The sequence below is a fragment of the Homo sapiens genome, chromosome 22, assembly GCF_000001405.40.
Source record: "Homo sapiens chromosome 22, GRCh38.p14 Primary Assembly".
In the NCBI taxonomy this organism is placed as follows: domain Eukaryota; kingdom Metazoa; phylum Chordata; class Mammalia; order Primates; family Hominidae; genus Homo; species Homo sapiens.
This window is the reverse complement of record NC_000022.11, coordinates 25,992,242-26,016,346: the sequence shown is the minus strand read 5'-3', so window position 1 is coordinate 26,016,346 and position 24,105 is coordinate 25,992,242. Positions and strand designations below refer to the sequence as shown.

At 42.5% G+C, this 24,105-nt stretch overlaps 1 protein-coding gene across 13 annotated transcripts in view, besides 1 other annotated feature; it reads right to left on the bottom strand.

The window, feature by feature from the left end:
• The window catches only part of MYO18B (myosin XVIIIB), a 321,660-nt gene that overhangs the window by 47,501 nt on the left and 250,054 nt on the right, over positions 1 to 24,105 (bottom strand). For all 13 annotated transcript variants that reach the window (XM_011530461.3, XM_011530458.3, XM_017029014.2 and 10 more), the window contains 3 exons: positions 23,854 to 23,984; positions 13,038 to 13,082; positions 11,492 to 11,629 (listed from right to left, as the gene is read on the bottom strand). In XM_011530461.3, the coding sequence (XP_011528763.1) occupies positions 11,492 to 11,629; positions 13,038 to 13,082; positions 23,854 to 23,984 (314 nt within the window). The remainder of the gene's footprint in view (positions 1 to 11,491; positions 11,630 to 13,037; positions 13,083 to 23,853; positions 23,985 to 24,105) is intronic.
• Positions 23,350 to 23,850: an enhancer, noted in NCBI's record as "H3K4me1 hESC enhancer chr22:26388463-26388963 (GRCh37/hg19 assembly coordinates)". NCBI's record gives its function as "activates a minimal SCP1, AML or CMV promoter by ChIP-STARR-seq in primed H9 embryonic stem cells {active_cell/tissue: H9 hESC(primed)}" and the evidence as "EXISTENCE:reporter gene assay evidence [ECO:0000049][PMID:30033119]".

Genomic DNA, 24,105 nt, shown 5'->3' with positions numbered 1-24,105 from the left:
TAGGAAAACAGAGAAGGGAATAGAACTTCCCAAGTCACACTCTGATGAGATGGTGCAAGTACTGGCTCTACAACTCGAGTCTTTTACCTTCTGCTACAATTTTCACAATGTTTTGAAGAACACAATTCTAGATTTGTAGAGTAATTAAAATCTACTTGGCTTGTAGATTCAATTTGGATTCAACATATTTAAGTGAATTTAATGCATCCCTTCACTTTCCATGCAGAGACATTGTCTCACCAGAGTATGGTGAAATGGCAATAGTGACAGAAAATCTCAGACTCATTCATAAAAGCACCCAGTTCCCCATGAAGATGCAGCTTTAACTGAATGGAAATTATGCATCCATTAATATTTCCTTGCGTCCATCCTGAATCATTTATTGAGTGTCATGAAGACAGATGCTGTCAATATAGAGATGAATAGTGATTGTCTTCAAGTAACTTACATTCTAGAGGGGGTGGTAGATGCACTAAGTTAGGACTGGAAGAAAATATAAGTGAAAGTTCGTGTTTCCCTAGGTGTAGAAAGTAAGAAAAAAAACTTTTAAGTTCAGGGGTACATGTGCAGGTTTGTTATATAGGTAAACTCATGTCACAGGGGTTTGTTGTACAGTTTATTTCATCACCCAGGAATTATGTCTAGTACTCACTAGTTATTTTTTCTGATCCTCTCCCTCCTCCCACCCTCCACCTTCTGATAGGCCCCAGTGTGTGTTGTTCCCCTCTATGTGTCCATGTGCTTTCATAATTTAGCTCCCACTTATAAGTGAGATGATGTGGTATTTGGTTTTCTGTTCCTGTATTAGTTTGCTACGGATAATGGCCTCCAGCTCCATTCATGTCCCTGCAAAGGACATGATCTCATTCTTTTTTATGGCTGCATAGTATTCCATAGCATATATGTACCACATTTTCTTTATCCAGTCTACCATTGATGGGCATTTAAGTTGATTCCATGTCTTTGCTATTGTGAATGGTGTTGTGATGAACCATATATATGCATGTGTCTTTACGGTAAAACAATTTATATTCCTTTGGGTATATACCCAGTAATGGGATTGCTGGGTCAAATGGTTTTTCTGCTTTTGGTCTCTAAGGAATCACCATGCTGTTTTCTACAATAGTCAAGATGGATTAAATACTTAAATGTAAAAGCCAAAACTATAAAAACTCTGGAAGACAACCTAGGCAATACCATTCTGGACACAGGAATGGGCAAAGATTTCATGATGAAGATGCCAAAAGCAATTGCAACCAAAGCAAAAATTGACAAATGGGATCAAATTAAACTAAAGAGCTGCTGTACAGCAAAAGAGACTTATCAACAGGGTGAAGAGACAACCTACAGAATGGGAGAAAATATTTGCAAACTATGCATGTGACAAAGGTCTAATATCCAGCATCCATAAGGAACTTAAACAAATGTACAAGAAAAAAAAAACCCATTAAAAAGTGAGCAAAGGACATGCACAGACACTTTTAAAAAGAAGGCATACATGTGACCAACAAGCATATGTAAAGAAGCTCAACATCACTGATCATTAGAAATGCAAAGCAAAACCACAATGAGATACCAACTCACACCAGTTAGAATGGCTATTATTTAAAAGTCAAAAAAAGACAGGTGCTGGTGAGGTTGCAGAGAAAAACGAATGCTTATACACTGTTGGTGGAAGTGTACATTGGAAAAAAAAATGTTTATTTATGTAAGAGAATAAAAGCCTAGCTCAGCACTCAGCTTCCAGATGTAATAGCTTGCACCAGAGCTACTTGGAAAGCCAGAAAAGTAGAATTCAAATTTAAGGACAGTGGGAAGCCATCAAAGCAGCCAGGACTCAAAAGGCCAAATCCTGCAAAGAGGGAAATACACTGAAGGTGAATACAGTATGATGTGGCACTTTCCCTGAGAGTCATTTGCTGACCTGAAAGAATAATTAATATGGAGAACTTATACTTCCAATGCTATATTGGTTCAAGGATGGACACATAGAAAAGTGAAATAGAATAGACAGACGTATATACATAAGATCACTTGATTTATGACAAATTTATACTGTTGTGTAATGTGGACAGTATCATTTCTCTAAAATATATGTGCTAGACCAACTCAATATCTATATGGAAAAGAGTGAGCCCTACCTCACACCACAATGAGCCCTACCTCACATCACAAATAAGTATCAATTCATGATGCATTGTGTATCTAGATATAAAAGGTAAATCAATACAATGTCTACAAAAAATAAGAAAATACTGCATGATTTCAAAGTAGGCAAATAATTTTTCAACAGTATATAAAGAGCACCAACCATAAAGGAAAACATTATAAACTGGGTTACATTAAAATTAAGAACTTTTCTTATAAAAATAAACCATTAAGAGAGTGAAAAAGGTAAGTGACTGAGTGGAAGAAAACCCACATACCTTATAAAGGGCATGCATTTAGAATACATAAAGAACTACAGATCAATACAAAAGAGATGGATAACCAAAGAAGAATAAAAATAATGGACAAAAGACTTTCTCAGACACTTCATTAAAGAGGATATTCGAATGAAGATATAAGCATATAAAAAGGTTTATTTACCAGGGAAATGTGAGTGAAGATGAAAATTTGAAACTACTAACACCTATTAGAATAGCTAATTTTTTAAATAACAAAACCAGGCGTTGGCAAGGATTTAGAGCAACCAGAACATTCATTCACTGCTTATGGTTACATAAATTGGAATGACTGTTTTGACAGTATTTACCAAAGCTGAAAACACACCTAGCAATTCTACTGCTGAGTATACGCCCGACAGAAATCTGTATATTCATGCAACAAAAGATGTGTACAAGATTGTTCACAGTAATACTATTCATAATCATGGGAAACCATAAACAACCTAATTGTCTATTAATAATAGAATAAATTAATTATTACTCTATGTTCACACAATGGCATATTATTGACTGTGGTTTCTCAGTGGTGGTATAATTGCCATTTTGGACCCGATAATTCTATGTGGCCTGTCCTGTGCATTGTAAGACATTTGGCAGCATCGCTGAACTCTACCCATTGGATGCCAGTAGCATGACAGCCAAAAATGTCTCCAGACATTGCCAGCTGTCCCCTGTTGAGATGGGTAGTGGTGCAGAAGTGCCTCCAGTTGAGAACCACTGACATAGACTATAGAGCAATGAAAATAAATGAATTACTGCTACATGCAACAGTGTAGATGCATCTTGAAAAAATATCGAAAGAAAGAGGCCAGACACAAAAGAGGACATACTGGATGCTTCCATTTACACAGTTCAAAAAGGGGCATATCTAATATACAGTGTTAGAAGTCAGGATGGTGGGTTTCTTTGAGGAAGGAGGAGGTGGTGGCTTGAATGGGCACAAGGAAGTTGTAGGGGCACTGTAATGGTCCAGTCTTGATTTTGTTAGTAATTACAAATTAATTAGGTATGATCAATTTTTTGAAAATTTCCTCAAGATCCACTTTCCTGTATATATATTTCAATGGTAAATTTGCGTAACAAAACCTTAGCTTAATCAGAGAACCACAGATTTTAAAAGAATGTTCTGAACCATCAACGATGTATCCAAATAGTTTTCTACAAACTTGCAGCTTAGGTGAACCTCAAATTTTCTAAAAGGTCCATAGACCTACCATCCAAGACCTCGAGTTCTAGACAGGAAACAGCCTTCCTTCCTATAAATACCTGTCTGAGAGGGATTTGGGTCCTAAGGATAAATCCTGTGTCTACATTCAGACTTCACCTGTTTTCACTTGCTCAGGCCTTTGGTCCATGGTTAATGTGTTTGCATTTAATATTTCTGTGCATTCAGTTTCAAAATCTTTTCCACTAATCTTCCTAATACTGATAAAACTAAAAAGACTCCTTATGTCCTAGGAAGACATAAAACCATATTCATGAGAGGCCCTTTCATTAAGTATTTCCAGGATGGATTAAAATTATCCTGAGCTCCATTTCTAAGAATGCCGAGACCAGTAAATAAATGTACTATTGAAATAAGATTAGCATCAGATGCTTACCCCACTTTGGGAACGAGCTGTTTTTTAAAGCTAAGTACCATTTATTCACATATCCATAATTAATGAACTAATTACAAACGAGTCTTATCTCATCATTTAAGCAGCCCTCACATGACCCATCTTTGGCTTCCTGTCTGTAGTAGAGTAATTGCCCTTCTTTGAAAGTAACGCAACTGTTTTTTTAAAGACAATACTGTGTAATTTAGACCTTTTTACTTATTCAAGCCAGCCTTATCCCAAATAAAAACAAACAGGGCTGGTGGTAGGGTCTGGATCTTTCCTTTTAAACCAAGAACTGCAAGCCAAGAGTTTGGGGCTGCAAATGTTTACAGAAAGCAAATTTTCTCCTGCAAAAAGGAAAAGTTGTAATGCCATCTTTTAGCCAAACGAAAAGCAGTTGTGTTAAATCGGCACCAAAGCAAATGATACATACAACAGTAATTAGCAAAGATTACACAGTAATTAAAATCACGATGATTATGTGAGTGAGAATAATTTATACAATAATCTCCATGCTCACATTGCAATATGGTACAAGTCCAATAGCAACAGCAGAAAGCCAGGCTTGGTAATAAATTCAAAGCACAGCATCACTAATTATGTGATGATAGATTGGCCATTGAAATTTAGGGATAAATAAAGTCTCTGATCAGGAGACACCATTTTAGTTAGATTTCCCAAGGTTACTGAATGGGGACCCCAAACACTTTAATAAGTTTCCTTCCTCCCCACCATTCTTTCTCTTCATAGTCTTGCCCATTCCTGTAGTTCATTCAGCTTCCCCCTTGGTGGAAAACATTTTCTATGCTTATAGTTTTCATCTACCAAGTCCTCATTCTCCTGCTTCAGGTAAGGCCCTTCATTGTCCTTTGGGGAACCCCTCCTCCCTTCATGTTCTCATGGTTTGGTGGGAATTTCCAAGAGCCAGGTGAGAAGACTGACTTAGGCCAAAGGTAAGAGGCTCCTTCAGTCCCCTTGTCCATTCTGACTGGTTCAGGCTCACTCAGGCTTGCATTTTTTGTGAAAACTGTGAAGAAGAGAGAAATTCTCTTTACTACTGGACTCAGAATGGTGCAGGCATGAGTTTGGAGCTGTTAGCCGCCATCTTGTTGCCCCAGAAGGAAACCAACATAGAAGACAGCAGAGCAGAGAGGTTGGTGGGGAACCAAATCCCCATGATCATTTTTGAATTCCTGGATCTAGTAATGCCTGAAGCTAGATTTTCCTTTTTGGTTTCCCAGCTACAGGAAACAATAAATGCTCCTTCTTACTCTGGCCAGGTTGATGGGTTTTATGTCATCTACACTCATAAGAATCCTAACATTACGCAGAGGTTTCTTGGTATCTCCTTAGGGCTCCAGGTCAGAGTTTAAAAAGCTTCTGGACAATTCTCTTTGGATGTCCCCAAACACACGAAGTTTAACATATTTAAAACTGAGCTCACCAAAACTCCACTTTCACTGCCAAGAGGTTTTCTGTTGTGCTCATGGTTTTCTGCTGTGAGTTTAGCCCACTTCTGCAATCTCTGGTATGTGGAGCACCCAGTCCTAGTTTTCCCTGGTCCTGCCTGTCAGCATCCATGCCTTTGGCACAGCAGCATTACCTGGCCTGCTCTGGGATGAAGGACAGAGGATGGAAGGGAGTTTCTGCTTATTAAACACCAACTTGGTGGCAGGCCTTCCAATGAGCACTCTAGAGTGCTAATTTGCTACAGTTGTTAATTCTTCAGCTCTGCAAAGGGAATATTATTAAAGTCTATTTAACGGTGGAGGGGCTGAGACTCGGAGACTGTAACTTGCTCATAGTCAGGAACTAGTAAAGGAGAGGTTGTATTAGAAAACAGATCTACCCTTTACTTTCTTGAAGTATGTTTTCCAGGCCCGCTGGTCAGGCCCTGTTGAACTCTCTGAGCCCACCACATGCTTCTGCCCTCAACCTGCACTCTGGGACCCCTGCTGTAGGCAATGAGGAGCCACTGAAACCAGATTTTCCTTTTAGAGGAATCAAACTGGCTAAAGTATAGAGGATGGACTAAAGGAGGGTGGAGTTGAAAGGTCTTTGCCAGAGTCTAGGAGCACAATTATGGTAGCTTGACTTAAAGGTGTTGGCAGTGGGGGATGGAGAGAAGCAGAAAGAGTATTTGTTTGGGTGGGGGGTAGAATACAAGACTTACGGATTCGTTGAATATGGGGATGAGAGAGGGGAATGATAACCTAAGATAACAAGGGCTCCAACGTGGTGCTTTATGAATAACAGAACCACTCAATGATCCTGATAACACAGGGCTGGTGGGGCAGGATGAGTTTCCTCTTGGACATGCTGAGTTAAAACATCAGGGAGATACCTGGTTGGTGATCAGTATAGACAATAAGATAACATACATAAATTTAAAACTTGGGAGAATATAAAGACGTTCATCTGTATTTGGGGGTCACCTGCTGAAAGCTGCAGAGCCAAAATCACAAAAGGAGAATTGCCAGCTATCAGGTGGAGAGAGAATCAGCCAAGTGAGGGCAGTAACCTGTGAACCCTGGCATTTGGAGATAAGGTCGTGAGGCAAAGACCAGGGAAGAGAAGTTTGAGGAGAACCAAGGAGCAGAAATCTTGTCAAGGCCAAGCAGATAGAGTTCCATGAAATGTTCAACAGTGGGGAAAAGTCCAGGAAAATATAAAGACTAGAGAATGTCCCCTGATTTGTGTCTCTGGAAGCTGCTGACACAGTGAGAAAGGTTTCAATGGAGTGGCAGAGCAGTCTCTGGGCTGTAGTAAATTGAGGCATGAATGTGGAGTAAGTGAAGATGGTACCTATTAACAACACGTCTGAGAAGCTCGAATCAAAAGGAAGGAAAAACAGTAACTCAATAGGACAGCAAGGTGATGGATGAGGACATGGTTAGGATGGGGAGGACCTCAGCTGTTTATAACCTCTGGGGGAAGAACTGAAACAAGGAAAGTTGAGGACACAAGAGACAGAGGTGACACTAGATGAATCAGAGTGTTTTAGGGAGAAAGAAGTCCTGGATCCCAATTAGCTTCAGACAGGGCAGGACTGGACCTCATCTTCTGAGACCAGAGGGAATATGGGGGCAAATAGAGATGAATGCATATACATCACAGCAGAAGTTAAAGGCATTATTATTTTACTTTGAATGAAACAGAAGTGGAGTTGCCTCCTGAGAGTGATGGGGAGAGATCAGAGGGAAGTCAGGATGGTTTGGAATAATTGCCCAGGAAATGAGAACAGCGACTGCCCGATGACAATACCTTGGCAGTCTCTACAGCTAGGTCGTCATGCCTGTCAGCATGTGGACCTTGCAGAACAGGGTGAGTGACCATGGCTAGGGTTTTACTGGGCTTGGGGTGAGGATCTAGAAAGAAATGAGGCTTAGACCCTGCTCAGGAAGCCCAATGTGTTGTCAGGGTAAGAAGAAGTTGGGAGAGCCTCACTGCCCTCGCACTCTCATCCACAGAGCAGTGGAAGGAGAGCGAGAAGGAGAGGCCAGGCATGCAGCAGGGACTGACGTAAGCATGCCAGACCCTGGACAGCCCAGGCACCACTTGCGGCCAGATGTTAAGAGAAACTCCTGAACAAAGTGTGACTGCCACCATCCAGCCCATAAACTCCCTCTCTGTGGCCACAAAGGTAATTTAGTGTCTTCGTCTCCAGAAGCGCTTGCACTTATCAGCGGCAGCAGCATGATTCCTAGGCTGTAAATCATAACGCTTTAGGTGTATTTCTCTTGAGTTGACGTCCCCTTATAAATAATGTGGGGAATGCTTTTATTTTGTTGGCAGAAGACTGCTTTCTCCCTCTCTTCTGTTTTTAGAGTGACCTTCTTTCTCAGTCAAATGGGATATATCCAAGAGGCTCATTTATTGGGTCTTCCCATGCACCAGGTAATATGGGAGCGGGTATAAATAGGAGTCCTGTTCTCTACTATGATACAGTCTCCTAGCAGAAAGGACACTCATATCTATTAGAGTTTAAAATGCAAATGCCCTTTGATCCAGAGAATCATTTACCCATGTTTATAAGAATGTGTGTTTTTCAAAGCTTGACAAGTTAATATCAAATATCTGGAAAGCACCTAAAAGTGAAATAAAGACACTATAGTTAAATAAAGCATGGCAGCTTGTGCAGGAATTACAAAGAATGAGATGAACTTATGCATACTGGTAAGGAAAGATCTCCAAGGTGTATTGCTGAGGGAAAGAAGTATATTGTAAAAATTTATGAAAAGCATTACATGTAATTATATAATTTATGTTTTTAAAAATCTCACAAATATGCTATATATTTGCTACAAGTACATGTATATGTTTATGATATATACATATAGAAAAAGATAGAGAAGGATATACACCAAACTGAAGATGATGGATCCTTCTGAGAAGGAAGCTTAAGACTGCAGTGGTGGCCAAGGGCATTTCAGCCTTCTGATATATTTTAAGTTCTTTGAGAGAAGTATTCATAGATTGCTTGTGCAATTAAAAAGAGCTAGAAGTCAAGACACCTGTACTCTGTGTCAGTTCATACCATAAATTTGGATAAGATATTTCCCTCTGCAGACCTCAGGTTTTCCCATCTATAAACTGAGCAAGTTGGGCTGGATAATCCCGGTGGTCCTTTGCAACTCAGAATGCCTTGAGTCCTCAAGCTATAAACATATTCAAAGGAAGGGGTTCATAATTTTTAGGGCTTAATGTCGTAGGATCTGGTGCTCAGTAGCACTTTGTCTTGGCTGAACATTGAAGGTTGCATAATAATCCTTAGGCAGTTTTAGTACTAATAAACAGAGATCAGATTTTTCCAGTAAACTTTACCAGGTGAGTGGTCTACCTCCTGGATGAATGTCAGAGAGCTGTGGTAGCATGGCAAATAAAATAGAGGCTTTGGTGGGATTCCAACCTAGGTTCAAATTCTGGCTCTTCCACTTACCTACTTTGTGCTATTAGTAAACTACCAACCCTCTCTGTGCCACAATCAATGCTGAGCTGTGACCAAATACAATTAATATTTCTGCTCCAGCCTTGATGCTCTGGTCAGTTATTCATTCAACAAACATTTATTGAGCACCAACTGTGAGCCAGCCCTGGGGATGTGGCCATGAGGAAGACAGACAAGAAATCCCTTCTTACAGATGTGTAAGTATCTCCCTTGCCTCCTGCCCCCTCCCTGTTCTTGGTGCAAGCACTTTCACTCCAAACAGCAGCTGAACATGCCCAAGAACTTGGAAGGGGAAAGGGAAAAGAAAAGGGAAAGAGACTCTGGATAGGGCTCTCTGGGAGATGCTGAAGACCCACCTTGCCTGAGGGGCCACTGCAGGAGCTGTAAGACCATCTATGCATGGATCAGTTGCTCCCCCTTCTCTGAGTCTCAGATTTCTCTTCTGTAACATGAAGATAGACAGTGAAGTCTATCTCCCGGGATTCCTCCGGGCATCAAATAGTTACTGCTGCTGATAAAAATGGCTAATTTTTTGTGGCTCTTTCTAGGTGCCAGGCTCTGAGTAAAGAGTGGCTTGTGCATCACCACATTACCCCTGACAACAATCATGATTTACTCGGGAGGAAACATGAACAGAGAAGTTAAGCAGCTTGTCCAAAATCTCACAGCTGCAGATATGCAAATAAAGAATTGGAATATTATTTTTTAATCTATGTCCGGGTCCATACATAGTAAGCATTTGATAAATGCTTATTGAAAGTTATATGTACTGGTTTGTCTTGTTGTTCTAAAAACGTTGACTTTAAAAACTATACATTGTATACGTTTTCCTATAGATTATGCTTTCTAATCCAGTGCTAGAGAATTCAGTGAATTTGGAAGCAGCCAGAACACTGATTAAAGATGAATCTCTGTATAGAATAACAATTCTAAAACTTTTCAACAGGCCATTACAATGTAAAAAGTGCCTACTTTTTGTTTTGGCAATATTGATATTGCCAATTATATCTTAAACATGTACAGCAAATGAAAAAAAAAAAGAATTGGAATCCAGCTCTGACTTCAGATCCTGCACCGAAACCGTAATACCCTACCATCTCCCATTCAAACAGGTGCCAAACAACTTAGGTTAGGCTGCAATTCATCTGTTAGGATCCTTATTATCCACCCTAATATAATTAGAATTATGAAACTTGGTTATTATGTTAATGAGCATTCACATTCTTCTCTGGCTGCCTCCAATTCTCCTGCTGCCACTGGCAGACAGGCTAACGCAAAGGTATTTAGTTTTCAGAAGAGATAAAGTCCTCATAGTTTGGAGTTCACAGAGGACACAATTCCCTTCTTCATACAGGCCTTTGTTTTTAATTAAGAGCAGTAATCAGATAATCTTGCTTTAATTAGCTCCCCAGAAGCAACCCATTCTTGGAGCCTGTCTTTGATATTTTCTACATCAAGTCTTTCAGCCTAAGATTATCTGCAGACATGCACCAGACATTTGCCATTTGCCAAATATGCCCAAAAGTTTAGCATAAACTCCCACTCCCTTCTTTTTGTAAAGACAACCCCTGCATCAAAGCAAACACGTTTTGAGTCAGGAAGCGGTTGTCTGGGTTTGCTCCGTGAGTCTGTGATTTTTCCAGTCTTATCATATTGGGCCTTCTGTTCACAAAAACTGTGAGCATCTCATCTTAATTATGCATATCTTAATCCATAATTTCTGACTTATGGCCATTAACTCCTAATTACAAGAGGGCCACCCTTGAAAAGGGAAACCAAGTGAGCTCAGAGAAATGGAGCTGAAAAGCAAGAAGGAAGATGGATGATAGAAACTGTGCAACTAAGGGTGAATCCAAAGGCCCATTTATTGGAGGCGGTTGTTGTTGGCAATTCTGTAGATTTGTGAGGCTCCCATATCAGGCCACACCTGAATTCATCCCTTTCTGTGGTAAGGAAATTATAAAATTAAAAATAAAGCTAAAATTTGAATAAAGCTAAAATCTCCAGGTGATAAATCATCTGGCCCAATTTCTTTATAATGACTTTCCATTAAAAAAGCTTAAGTGAATATGTTTATTAAAAATTTTTTGAACCTGTAATTACCCATAAATGGAAAAAAGAGTATGATGTGCCTTAAGTAGAAGGCAACTATAACAACTATTACTATTTTTTAAAATGTTCACCCTGTGCTATTTAAAAATCTGGAAAACCATGCTCTGGAGAGGACTGCATTAGGTCCTCATTGCTTCAACCATTTGGATCAGTAAATAAAATTATATTCCATGTATTGCAGATGAGGAAGTAGAAGCTCAGAGAGGGTAAAGGATCTGCCTAAAGTCACACAGCTAGGAAGTGGCAGAGTTATACCCCAGACTTTCAGGACCATGCTTGTTTTTGCCTATGCCAGAGACAATGAAAGACTTGAACAACAACTTTCAAAGTCTGAGATTCTTCAAGCTATTAGCCATCCAGAGGCAGCAAGGAGATACTCTTACCTGGGGCTGAGGATGCGGCTGCTGGTGGCTGACTGTCGAGAAGGAGTCCTCATAGTATCTGTGGCCAGGGACAGAGTACAGCTCAACCAGGACTGCAGGCTGCCCTCTGGCTGGGAGCTGAGGATGGAGACGTTATCCCTAGAATAAGATTGCAGGACACCATCAGCACAATGACAATCACAGTAACAGCAATAATTAGATATTCACCCATAGCATAAGCCAGGCATTGTGCTAAGTGATATACCTGCATAACCTCACTCGCCATCCCAGAGAGGTAGGAGCCAGTGCTGTCACAGTTACACAGATGGAATTACTGAGATTTGGAGAGGCCAATTTGGGTCTTGGCCAAGGTCACCCAGCTAGTCAATGATGAAATTGGGATGCAAACCCTGTTCCTTTTTATTCCAATGCCCATGCTATTAATCATGGCACTCTTCCTTGGGGAGATACACACTCCACTACAAATGTTGAGGTCTCTCCAATTTAGGAGTAAAGTTTGGCATTGAATTTGATGTGTTCAAGGAATATATCAAGTGTGAAGGTCTTAACTCCTTCCTTACCTTATCTGGATCATCTTTAAAACAGGGACTCTACTTTTATGTCCCCTGATTCTGAAAGCGGCACAGAAAGAGAGGGGGTCGTCACAGGTCCTCAATGAGACCACGTAAGTTGATATACTCATTCAACATTATGTATATGTGTGTGTATATGTATGTGTGTATATTTATTAATATTATTTATATGTGTGTATGTGTATATATATTATAATATATAGTTTTTTAATAGGACGCTCTATTTATGCCAAGCACCAGTTCTTGTCCACATGAACTTAACATTGACCCTGTCCCTCAAGACCCCATCTCTATAAATAACAATAAAATTTTTAAAAATTATTAATATTTTATAGAGGGACAGAGGGTAGGTTTTACTAGAACCTGCTCTCTGTCCCTCTATAAAGCATTAGTAATGGTAGGTTCTAATAAAACCTACCCTCTGTGCCTCTATAAAGCATTAATAATTTTTTCTTTCAAAGAGGGAGCCTTGATTTGCTTCTTGGAGGCCTAAGGAAAGACATCAAGTAGTGAAAGTTGAGCTACATCTTCTTTGAAGGTTAGGGTTTGGCCACGCAGGGACTGAAGAACGGAATTTTGGGTGGAAGGAATCACGTACACATAGGTACGGAGGTCATAAAGGTCGGGGCATAAACAATATGGAAACCAGAAATCACAGTTGGAGGGGAAGGCAAGGGTCTGAATGTGCAGAATACAAACATCAGTGTAAAAAGTCTGTTCTGGGGCAATAGGGAGCCATTGAAGGTGTCTGAGGACAGTAGCATGAGAAGGCATAGGCTTCTTTCTGTCTAAAAGAACTAGGGCAGTTCAATACGATGTTCCTAGTGCTATAGGTTATGACCATGAAGGCATTAGTCTCATGGGCATCACTGATAATTCTCCAAGTGGACATGGATGTTCCCTCTGCAAACTGGACAGAGAGAGCCAGGGGCTCACCCTTGTGAGCTGCTCAGTTCTACCTGGGGTTAACTTACATCTCTTTTCGGCCGCTGCTGCCACAATCCACTGCCGTCTGGACACTAGTAAGAGGCACAAGAAAGAGTGTGTTATCCTCGTGCTGCCAGGGGCTTGGAAGCATGGTTATTGACGTTAGACAGACATGAGTGTGAATCCCACTTCCAACCTTTGCCCCTGTGTGATCTCAGGGAAGTCACTTGCCTTCCCTGAGCTTCCTTTCTTCCTTCCTAAAATGTGGCAAATAATGGGGCTCTGTTGTGGAGCAGAGTAAGTGAGATAACCCTTGTGAAGATCTCAGCATGGTTCCTGGCAAATAGATAGTGCTAATTAAGTGGTAGCAACCATTACCGCTACTCTTGTTTTAGTACAACTAGTACTGCTATTATTAATAGCATTGTTATTGCTAACAAGCAAGGTATTAGCTGTATGTTCTTTGTGAGTGCTAGCAAATCAGACATGGAGCAGGGCAGCTTCCCAGGGCATTGTGGGAAACTCCAATACTAATTACGATGGTAGCTGTTCTTTAGAGAGCATCCCTCCATTCAACAAATATGCTACCCACACAATCTCATCTACCTACCCCATGTGTCTCCATTTTAGAGATTAGGAACCTGACATACTTGTCTAAGTCACACAGCTTTTGATCCCAGGCCTGTTAAGCTCATGCTCCTAATCAGCATGCAATTGTTCAGTGGGTGGGTGCAGACAGCCAAACCGCAAACCTCAGACACCTAGGACATCATTTTAATCTGGATCATCAGGCTGGGGCTTCTCAGTATTCTCTGCTGTAATCTGGACAATTCCTCTTTTAGAAGATCAAGCTGTTTCCTCTAAGAGCTGCACCTGCTGCTCCTTGGCTCCCACCCTCAAAAGCCTGTCACCCTGGGGGCTTCTATTTACATGCATTTGTCCAGGCAGTGACCAACATCCCTTCTGGACCAAGAACAAGTCTTATTCATCCTTCAGCCCCAAAGCTCAGTCAGACCAGAAGTTCTCAGACAATGCTTGGTGAATCCAACAGAAGAAAAGTCAGTAAACAACAGCCATGGGCCAATTCTAGCCTACCATTTATTTTTATAAATAGAGATTTTTGTCTGTGATTGTTTTTGCACCATAATAGTAGTGCAACAAAGACAACATGGCATGAAAAGGCTAAATATTTACTATCTAGCCCTTTTAAAGAAAAAGACTCTGCAGTGGAACAAAAGCAGCTTTTGTGAATGGCCTTGTAGGAGGCAGAATAATGGTCCCCAAAGATGTTCACATTCTAACCCCCAAAACAAGGGAATATGTTTCTGTACAGGGAAAAAGTTTTATTGGAACACAGTCACCCATTCACTTACATTTTGAGTACTTCCTCACCTACTTTGACTAAACACCAATCTTTACTTGAATCCAGCACTCAGGAAAGTCTTTATAGCCCAATAGCTAATCAAAGCACACACTGGTGTTAGTTCTTGTTTACTATTTACCCTGGCTGACTCCATGAGTACTAGCCCCACGGGTGGACTCGGCATTCAGATTCACCCTCTTCCAAAGGGCTCTTCCCCAGCACTAGAGACCCATTCCCTCCTTGATGTCTAATCATGCTGGGCATCTTCTCATCTCCTTACTCTTCCACATGCTCCTGCTCTCTGACCCACTCTGTCCACACAGGGGGCTGATCTGTATGGACAACATCAATGGGTTCCCTATCCCATGGCTTTCTCTTGGACTCAGCCAATAGGGAATGCAACTGACAGTTGACAGGAAGGAGGGAAGACAGGGAAGCTGAAGTTACTTATTGTCCTGGATTTCTGGATTTCTCTCTACTGCCTTTCCTTGTGTTGGCTCCAGCTCTCAACCAAAGGCCAGAGCTCCTCCTATCAGGCTTCTCTCTCACTCTCTTTCTTTCTGGATTCCAGCAATTGCACCCTCTTTTTCTCCCTTCAGACCTTGCAGGAGTTACTGCTCTCAGTTGCTGCTATTCCCTAGGTGCTGCGCCATCTATACCTTGGAGCTTCCTCACACCTTTGTAAATAGTCCTTTTGTTAAGCTCTCTTCATTTAGAGTTTGTCTTTCAGTTTCTGCCAGACTCTATTACAATAGCTAATCTCAATGCTTTTTCTACCTTAACAGGAAGATCTGCATTTACTAGGCCAATAGTTTATATGAGGAAGAAGCAGACAGCAGGCATGACCCAACACTGCACTGCTAACTACTGTTACACCCTTAATCACAGTGTCACAATGTGGGAGAAAAAAAAAACAGTGAAGAATCTAAAGGGACAATCTTATAAGAGCCTAAGATTATCGGCAATCCTTACTAGCTCCTCCTAAGCTTCTGATCTGGAAAAGAACTAGCCACAAGGACAAATAAAAAAGATGGAAGTATAGCTGCTTATTAATCCTACATTTTTATAGTATCTGCACACTGGTTGCTTTTGCCCATGAACCTGTTTCACTAAACTTGCACAGAATATCTAAGGCTGAAGTCAAGACCCACCAGCTGGTCTGTTTGTTCATTCATGATGAAATACTGTCCACACCAAGTGTGATATCTGACCTGGACCCCATGCTTCCTACCATTTGAGATGGTCTCCAAAAAATGAGAGTATGTTTAAAATAAGAAGGCTGAATTAAGAGCTTCTGGGAACTATAGCTCACGTTTATTGTACGAACAAATGCTGAAGGCACCTAACACCTTTATCATGAGATGATCCGCAATGAAGCCTTCGGGACAGGAGATTTAAAAAAAAAAAAAAAAGGCTTTCAGGCAGAAGCAGTGGGGAGCTTTGTACTGTCTGCTCCTGAGAAGTATTAAACCACATGGGCAGAACTCACTACCATATAGACTGCACGTAAGTCACAGGTTATTGGTCCTGGAAAGTACTTGAGTTTGTATACCATGGTGCATGGAGCCCTCGAGTTCTAGGAGACCCCATGTAAAGTGTGGGTACCAAGGGGTCAAGAAGAGAGACCTAGGAGGAAGGCTTAGCCCAAAACCTTCCTCTGTCACTCCAATCAGAGGATGGCTGCACTCCATCCTAAGCTAGAATTTTGTACATGAGTTAGCTTTGGTATAAAAAACGAATTCTACAATAAGGAGGACGTTTGAAACACATTGGCCCTTTTACCATGTGAAGAAAGTGTCTCTGGGCTACAAGCTCCACAAGGCAAGTCCATGTCTGCTTGTTCCCTACTGTACCCCCTGTCCCAACACATAAGGTGTCCATTCATTGTTTTCTGCTGAGTGGGCAGGGGCCCAAAGGGCAGATGACCTGTCCATGGTCCTGATTCATTTGGTGGTACAGCTGTCTGGGACCCTCATCTCCTGACATGCGGTCAGTGGTTTTCTCTCCCCTTGGTGCAAGTGGCTTTTTAAAAAAAGAACTTGGCCAGGCGTGGTGGCTCATGCCTGTAATCCCAGCACTTTGGGAGGCGAGGCGGGCAGATCACGAGGTCAGGAGTTCCAGACCAGCCTAGCCAATATGGTGAAACCCTGTCTCTACTAAAAATACAAAAATTAGTCGGGTGTGGTGGCGTGTGCCTGTAGTCCCAGCTACTCGGGAGGCTGAGGCAGAAGAATTGCTTGAACCTGGGAGGCAGAGGTTGCAGTGAGCCAAGATCATGCCATTGCACTCCAGCCTGGGTGACAGAGTGAGAGGAGAAGAAGATGGAGAAGGAGGAGGAGGAGAAGGAGGAGAAAGGAGGAGGAGGAGGAGGAGGAAGAGAAGGAGAAGGAGGAGAAAGGAGGAAGAGGAGGAGGAGGGGGAAGAGGAGGAGGGGGAAGAGGGGGAGGGGGAAGAGGGGGAGGAGGGGGAGGGGGAGAGAGAAGAAGAACTTGAACTTGTGCCAGGAATTTATAAACAGGGTGTTGATGATGAGCGAGATAATTAATTCAATGTCTTCAGCTGTACTTCTTTAGGGTCAGTCTTTGCCAGACAATTCCAGTCTAAATGCAAATGTTGCCTGGGAAGTAACATGTAAATTCATTGGCCCCATCTCACAGTGACAGATACAAGTTCTCCTTAACGACAGGGCAGTTACTGGGCAGAGAACAGAGACCTTGACAAGGGAAAGGAGGAAGTAGGTTACATTTGACATGACAACAACGCTTGGCCATTAGCAGTTTAGGTTATGGGGTCAGCCTGGACATCAGACCATGGCTTCATCACCTACTGCATGGATTGGGGCAACTTTCTTGACTTCTCAGTTTCTTCATCTGCAAACTGGGAAGAATAATGGTAGGAGCCTCAGAGAGTTGTTTTGAGGATAACATATGCCAAACAGGTAGCACAGTACCTGCACAAAGTAATTTCTCAAGAAAAGGTACCTATTGTTACAATTATCATTATTTCCCGTAATGCTGGAATAGACAAAGTAGTTTGGAGCCCTGACTCTCTGTGAATCCTACTAGCTGGATATATGGGCTAGAAGGAAAGCCAGGTGGTCTATGCAGCATCATTTAAACAGGTGTTATATGGTACTAAGGCCTTGCATTGCAACTTGAACTGCAGCATCAACCTTCTCAGATTAATAGGAATGCTTTAAGCTGTTCTCCCTGGCCTGGAGCACATTCATTACTCATAGGGGACAAACTAGAAAGTAAAAAAGTTGCAGGAAAAGAGCTGTTGGAAGTTCCAATGACTGTCCTACTAGGTAGCAAGAAACTTTACAGTTTGGACAGAGCCTGGGTCCACTCATGAATAAATTAACTCAGAAGCGTGCCCTCAGTAGCAACCAGAATCTTCCGTTAGACCCAGATCTTTCCACTTGTCCTACTGCAGCCTAATTTTAGCCAGGTTATAAAAGGATGTACGTTGGAAAATGTCCAACTTACACTCAACAAAGCAACTGAGGACTCTTTTTTCAGAGCATTCGTCTCAGATTGGGCCAGCTGGTACTTATGCACTTTCAGCCGACCCAAGAGCAAGAGGTCATTCACTGACCTCTCTACATCTCGCCCAAACCCCTTTACCCCCTAGCCAAGGTGACAGACAGAGCAGCCGCAGCCCCTGGGCCATGAATAGACAGGGCTGTGTCAGCCAGCATATTCCTCCCTCCAAGAATAATGAGCATACTTTAGGCCTGGGTGACTGGCTTAAAGCATTTCTCCATTAATCTAAGGAGGTTGATGCCACAGTGCAAGTTACAATGCAGGGCTCTAGTGCAGGAGAGCACACGTTTAAATGCTGCCACATAGGCTACCTGGCTTTCTGAGCACGTAGCCACGTTTCCAGCCTGGAAGGCCTGTTATGCTCAGATCTAATTCCCAACATGGGGAAATGTGACTTTTTGTAATTTGAACAAGTCTCTCAAAGAACCTCACCTGCAGCTGAAGCATCTCTCTCTCTCTCTCTCTCTCTCGTGTGTGTGTGTGTGTGTGTTTGTGTGTGTGTGTGTGTGTGTGTGTTTCTCTCCTGGGTTGGCTTTGAATTTATTATAATTGAGAACTCTGTTTGGAGAAGTACCTCGAACCAGTCCCTCAGGCTCTAATCCAAACCTCTTACCCCAGGGTGATGAGGAAATTAGGAGTGAAGTGTAGCGTGGAGCTGTTAGCAAGTGGAGACTATAGACTGGGGCCTGGGCAGGAGCTGGGGGTTCTGCTATGGACGGTGGATTTACAGCCTAGCAACACAAATACTTCTTTTCATTGTTTATAACCAATTTAATTGCACTGTGATCAGACAACATGCTTTATACAATATTAATTCTTTGAAATGTGTTGAGACTTCATGGGCAATTTTTTCCCCCAGTTTCCCCATTTCTATGATATTACTGAAGTCTACACTGTGTTTCCACTCAAATCCAAGTTCTAAGTCAACATATTAGGATCAAGGCCTGCTGAGAATTAGGAAATGCTCCCTAAGAACCACCCTGGGGTCAGGGCTGGCTTCAGGGGCTTGCGACCCATGCCCAGAAGGGCCTGCATTTTGGTTTAATGCTCTTGTGTTACTGTCTTGAAATCTTAAATAATTTTTTAACAAGGAGACCCATACTTTCTTTTTTCCTTCGTTTTTTTTTTTTTTTTTTTTTTTTTGGCGACAGAGTTTCACTCTGTTGCCCAGGCTATAGTACACTGGCGCCATCTCAGCTCACTGCAACCTCTGCCTCCCTCGTTCAAGCCATCCTCCTACCTCAGCCTCCCAAGTGCACCACCAAGCCCGGCTAATTTTTGTATTTTGGGTAGAGACAGGGTTTCACCATGTTGGCCAGGCGGGGCTCGAACTCCTGACCTCAAGTGATCCACCCGCCTTGGCCTCCCAAAGTGTTGGGATTACAGACATGAGCCACCGCGCCCAGCAAGCCTCACACTTTCACTTCACACTGAACCCTACAAATGACGTGGCCAATCCTGCCTGGGGCACTGGGGCATTTTAAGAAACTGAGGGTGTCAGTGGGTTTCTATGGGTCATCTTCAGAGGAGAAGAAAGGTAGGAGAAAGGGAAAGAGGAAGATGCGATGGAGAAAGAGAAAAGGGGAACAAGAGGGCTGCTGCTCCCTCATCTACCTTCCCGGGGGACACTGGTTTTCTTTCACTTCCTAGAACGTGCCTTGATCTGCCATTACTCATTTTCTTCAGGCCTTCCCACAGCTGGCTCCTTCATTTCATTCGGGTCTTAATTCCAATGCCTTCCTCTCTGGGAGGCTACAACTGCCTACCCTGCTCTTCATCATAGCACTACGTTCTCTGGCCTCGTAACTCCAATTGTATTCTCGTGTTTTATTTATCAATCTGTGCACTCTATTTTTGGACACACTCACACACATACACACACACACACTCCACCATCAGAATGCAGGTTTGATAAAAGCAGGACCACCCCTAGGCTCTTCTCCCTCTCTATTCCTCAGCAATTCAACCAAACTGGGCTTTAGACACAGTTCCAAACATTCATTTCTGCCTGACTTCAGGCAAGTTACTCAACCTCTCTTCATCTGTAAGAGGGAGAATAACGATAACAAGAAGCAAGTGGAATAAAACAAGCACTTAACACAGCATCTCGCACGCAACAGGTGCTCAGTAAAACTTTATCAAATGAATGAATGAATGAATGCAATTGATGATGATTCTCGTTGAGCCCCTACTATGTGCAAGGTAATGTGCTAGGAAGCCATACTTTTTCACTTGCTTCTTATTATTAACCCATCTTAGACTCAAAGAGACGGAGGCTCAGAGAGGTTGAATAACTTGTCCAAGGTCACGCAGAAATTAACCATTAGATCTCTAATTGGCAATCAGACTTGTTGATGTGCAAAGCCTATTCCCTCTCAAATTCTTCCTTGACTTCCCATTGTAATAATCCTGCACATTGCATGGGGCTTTTCCAGGTACAGGCACAAGATGCATTTCTTTACACCTGGTTTTCTGTAGTCGTGTCACACCTCACAGCAACTCTGAAATGCAGGTGATGTCCCTTCCAGCTATGAGACAGGTGTTATATGGAAACTAGAGATCCAGTCAAGGGAAAAACATCAGACGCCCAGCAGGGAGGAAGACTTAAGTCCCTAGAGACAGAAGATCATGAAAAGTGAGAAAGAAAGAATTCAGATTGGATTCCAGGGCATGGAGCTCAGAAAGGGTAGATCAGAACAGAGGAGACAGATAAAGGTGTCTCTTATTAGGATGAGGGTGACAGCAGGGTCCCTTTAAAGCCAGAGGGGATTTCTCCCCTACGCCAAGACTGGAGTGATGTCTGCAACTTTCTGTGACCTCACCACCGGGATCTCATTCTCCCAGTGAGATGTCTGTCCCTTGCTTCTTGTTTTCCTTTTCATTTTATAATGTTTTTATTTTTAATTTTTGTGGGTACATAGTAGGCATATATATTTATGGGGTACATGAGATGTTTTGATACAGGTGTGCAATGCATAACAACCATATCATGGAAAATGGGGTATCCATCCCCTCAAGCAATTATCCTTTGTGTTACAAACAATCCAACTATACTCCTTTAGTTATTTTTTAATGTACAATGAAATTATCATTGACCACAGTCATCCTGCTGTGCTATTAAATACCAGGCCTTATTCATTCATTCTAACTACATTTTTGTACCCATTAGCCATCCCACCTCCTACTGTCTATTCCCATGGGTTAAATTGTTTTGATTTTTATATCCCACAAGTAAGTGAGAATATGCGATGTTTCTCTTTCTGTGTCTGGCTTATTTCACTTAACATAATGACTTCCAGTTCCATTCACATTGCCGCAAATGACCGAATCTCATTCTTTTTTATGGCTGAATAGTACTCTATCGTGTATACGCATCACATTTTCTTTATTCATTCATCTGTTGATGGACACTGTCCCTTGCTTCTTGTTGCACCTTCTTCCAGCCTGTCACCCACCCTTCAAGCATGGACCCTCCGCCTCCTTCCAATTTGGTTATGTTTACTTAACTTTGATTGTTTACTAGAAAAGCAATCTCTTGCTATGCAAGTGAAAATAATTTAAACATTTTGTGTACTGGCCAAAGATGGTTGTAACTACAGCCATTCATTCCTGGTGTAATTCATGCAAAAGCTCTATTGTTTCTATGAATGGAGAAGCCAGCCCAAGCATCAAACAAGTAATATTGACAAAAGGAGTTTGTAATTACACTAAGTTCTGCCATGACACTAATTAATAAAACAGGAGGAGGGGGCAGTGGAGGTGGAATCCTAAATGCAACCATGAGCTGGAAAGCAGCTGCAAGATCAGGATTTGCCCTTTCACCAGCAGTTTGGCAGCTGTGCCAATTAGCAGGGAATAGCGGGAATACTTGGAATGTGCATGGAAGCCACTTTTGCACAAATTGAATAATTTTTTTTAAGACAAAGTCTTTTATTTACAGGCAAAACATGAACTTTTATTTTTTAATTTATTTTCTGAGACAGGGTCTTGCTCTGTCACCCAGGCTGGAGTGCAGTGGCACAATCACAGATCACAGCTCACCACAGCCTCAAACTTCTGGGTTGAAATGATCCTCCTACCTCAGCCTCCTGAGTAGCTGGGACTACAGGCCACCATGTCTGGCTAATTTTTAAAAAGGAGTTTTTGTAGAGATGGAGACTCCTTATGTTTCCCAGGCTGGTCTTGAATTCCTGGTCTCAAGTGATCCTCCCGCCTTAGCTTCCCAAAGTGCTGGGATTACATGTGTGGGCCACCATGCCTGGCCAAGAACATGGAGTTTTAGAGTCCAGTGGCTCTCCATCTTGCTCCTGCTGAGCGCAGACATCGTTACTGGAGAGTCTGAGGTTACAAATCCCTCAGCAGCTATGACCAGCCCAGGACTGCATTAAGGGAGGAGGTTATGCGCATTCTAAAATTAGGTGTATGGAGTACATAACTTACATGAGCAAAATCTCCTAAAGAGAGTACTAGTAGAGCTAGAGATGTGTGTGCATGTTCATTGCACAGATTTCAGAAAATATAAATAAACTTGAAGAAAAAAAAAATTGTCACCCGTAACGCCTTTCCTCAGTGTTAGAATGTTGGTGTATTTCTTCCAGTTTTTTTCCTTGACTATTCATAGTCAGCTCTAATATAGACAATATAGATGTCTGGTTCTTCCTTCTGGCTAAACCAGAGCTGATTTGTAACCCTCTCTGCTTCCTTTGCCTGTCTCGCACCCACAAGTCCCAAAGGTCAGCAGCTACCCCTGCCTCCAGCCCTTAAGAGAGGTGTGAATGGCAAAGGTCTGGGTAGGAACTTCAGCAGACCTGAGTTCTAGCTCAGTGTATGAAGCTAATTTGCTGTGTGACCTTGAACTTCTCTAAAGTCAGGGTCCTCATATGGAAACAAAGAGGGATGCATTCCAAGGACTGATGTTTGACTGTCCTGGCTGCAGAAAAAAACAGCCTTCGCAGAGAGGAAGACTAAGAAAAACAGGCTTTTAATGTGGCCTGCTCAGGTGTGTACAGGGGCAGCTTGCAGGCAGCAGGAGGGAACCACCCTGTAGATTCTTTATTGAAAAGCTGTGTAAGGAAAGTGTCTTCTCTGCTACCCAGGCTTTGCCACAGAGGCTAGAACGGGGGCAGGGATGTGTGGCAAGACAGGCAGCTGTGGTTCCTAGAGAAGCAATAAGCCAAGGGTACAAAGGTAGCTCCTGGGAACAGAATGCTACAGGAGTTGGACAGCCTGGACCCATGTGCCCAGCTGGGATACCTCAAACTCTTTCCAGCTGAGCGGTCCACCTGTGGCCTGCAGTAGCTTGAGATTCAAGCAGAGATGGTGAAAAGTAGCCTATCTTCTGAGAAAGGCAAGAAGCCCTGCCATTGAACTTGGGTGGTCTCGCTAATTACCAGCCCAACTTTGCAACCTTGAATCAGCCATTGCCCTTGTAAAATAATGTCCATTATTCTGTACAAACATAGCTTCCACTTACATAGCACTTACATATCTGTCATGTTCATCTGTGAACTCAATTAACTCTCAACAACAGCCCTAAGAAATAGGCAGTAGATTGAATATATGAAACTTCCAGTCTGTAGGTCAAAAATAGTCCAATCTTGGCAATTGCATGTGATTCATCCTAATATTATTATGCCCATTTTACAGATGAGAGAATTAGGCCAAGATTGGACATGGAACTTGTAGAAGACCATACGCTAGTCCTTGTTCCAGTCACATTGCCTCACCAAAGGCTTGGTAAGCTGGACTGAGAGGTTTTAGCAACAGCAAGGAGAGGTTAAACCAGCAGGGCAACATCCAGTCTCTCCTTACCCAAGTAAACGAGGGGTGCCTCCAGCCCCCGAACATCTTTGGGTTTCCCAGTGAATGTGGCCCCAGCCCGGCTAAAGGGCATAGAGCTCCCCAGGATGCCGCCCACCTGCTGCGCCCAGCCCCGCCGAGCCCCTAGCAAGTTACCTCTCAGTATCACTGTCACTGGATGCCACTTCTTCCAAGGCAGCCTGCAGGTCGGCAATCCGCCGAATGGATGTCTCCAGGTCTGTCTGGAGGGTTTGCCTCACTGCTGCAAGTTCCTCCACGTACTTCTCCTGGGGACAGAAGATGCAAACACACGTTGGCCTTGGGCAAGAAATGCACCACCCATGCATGCACTGGGGAAGAGACACGCCCCAGGCTGAGCCTAGTGTTCACTGAGCACCTATGAAGTGG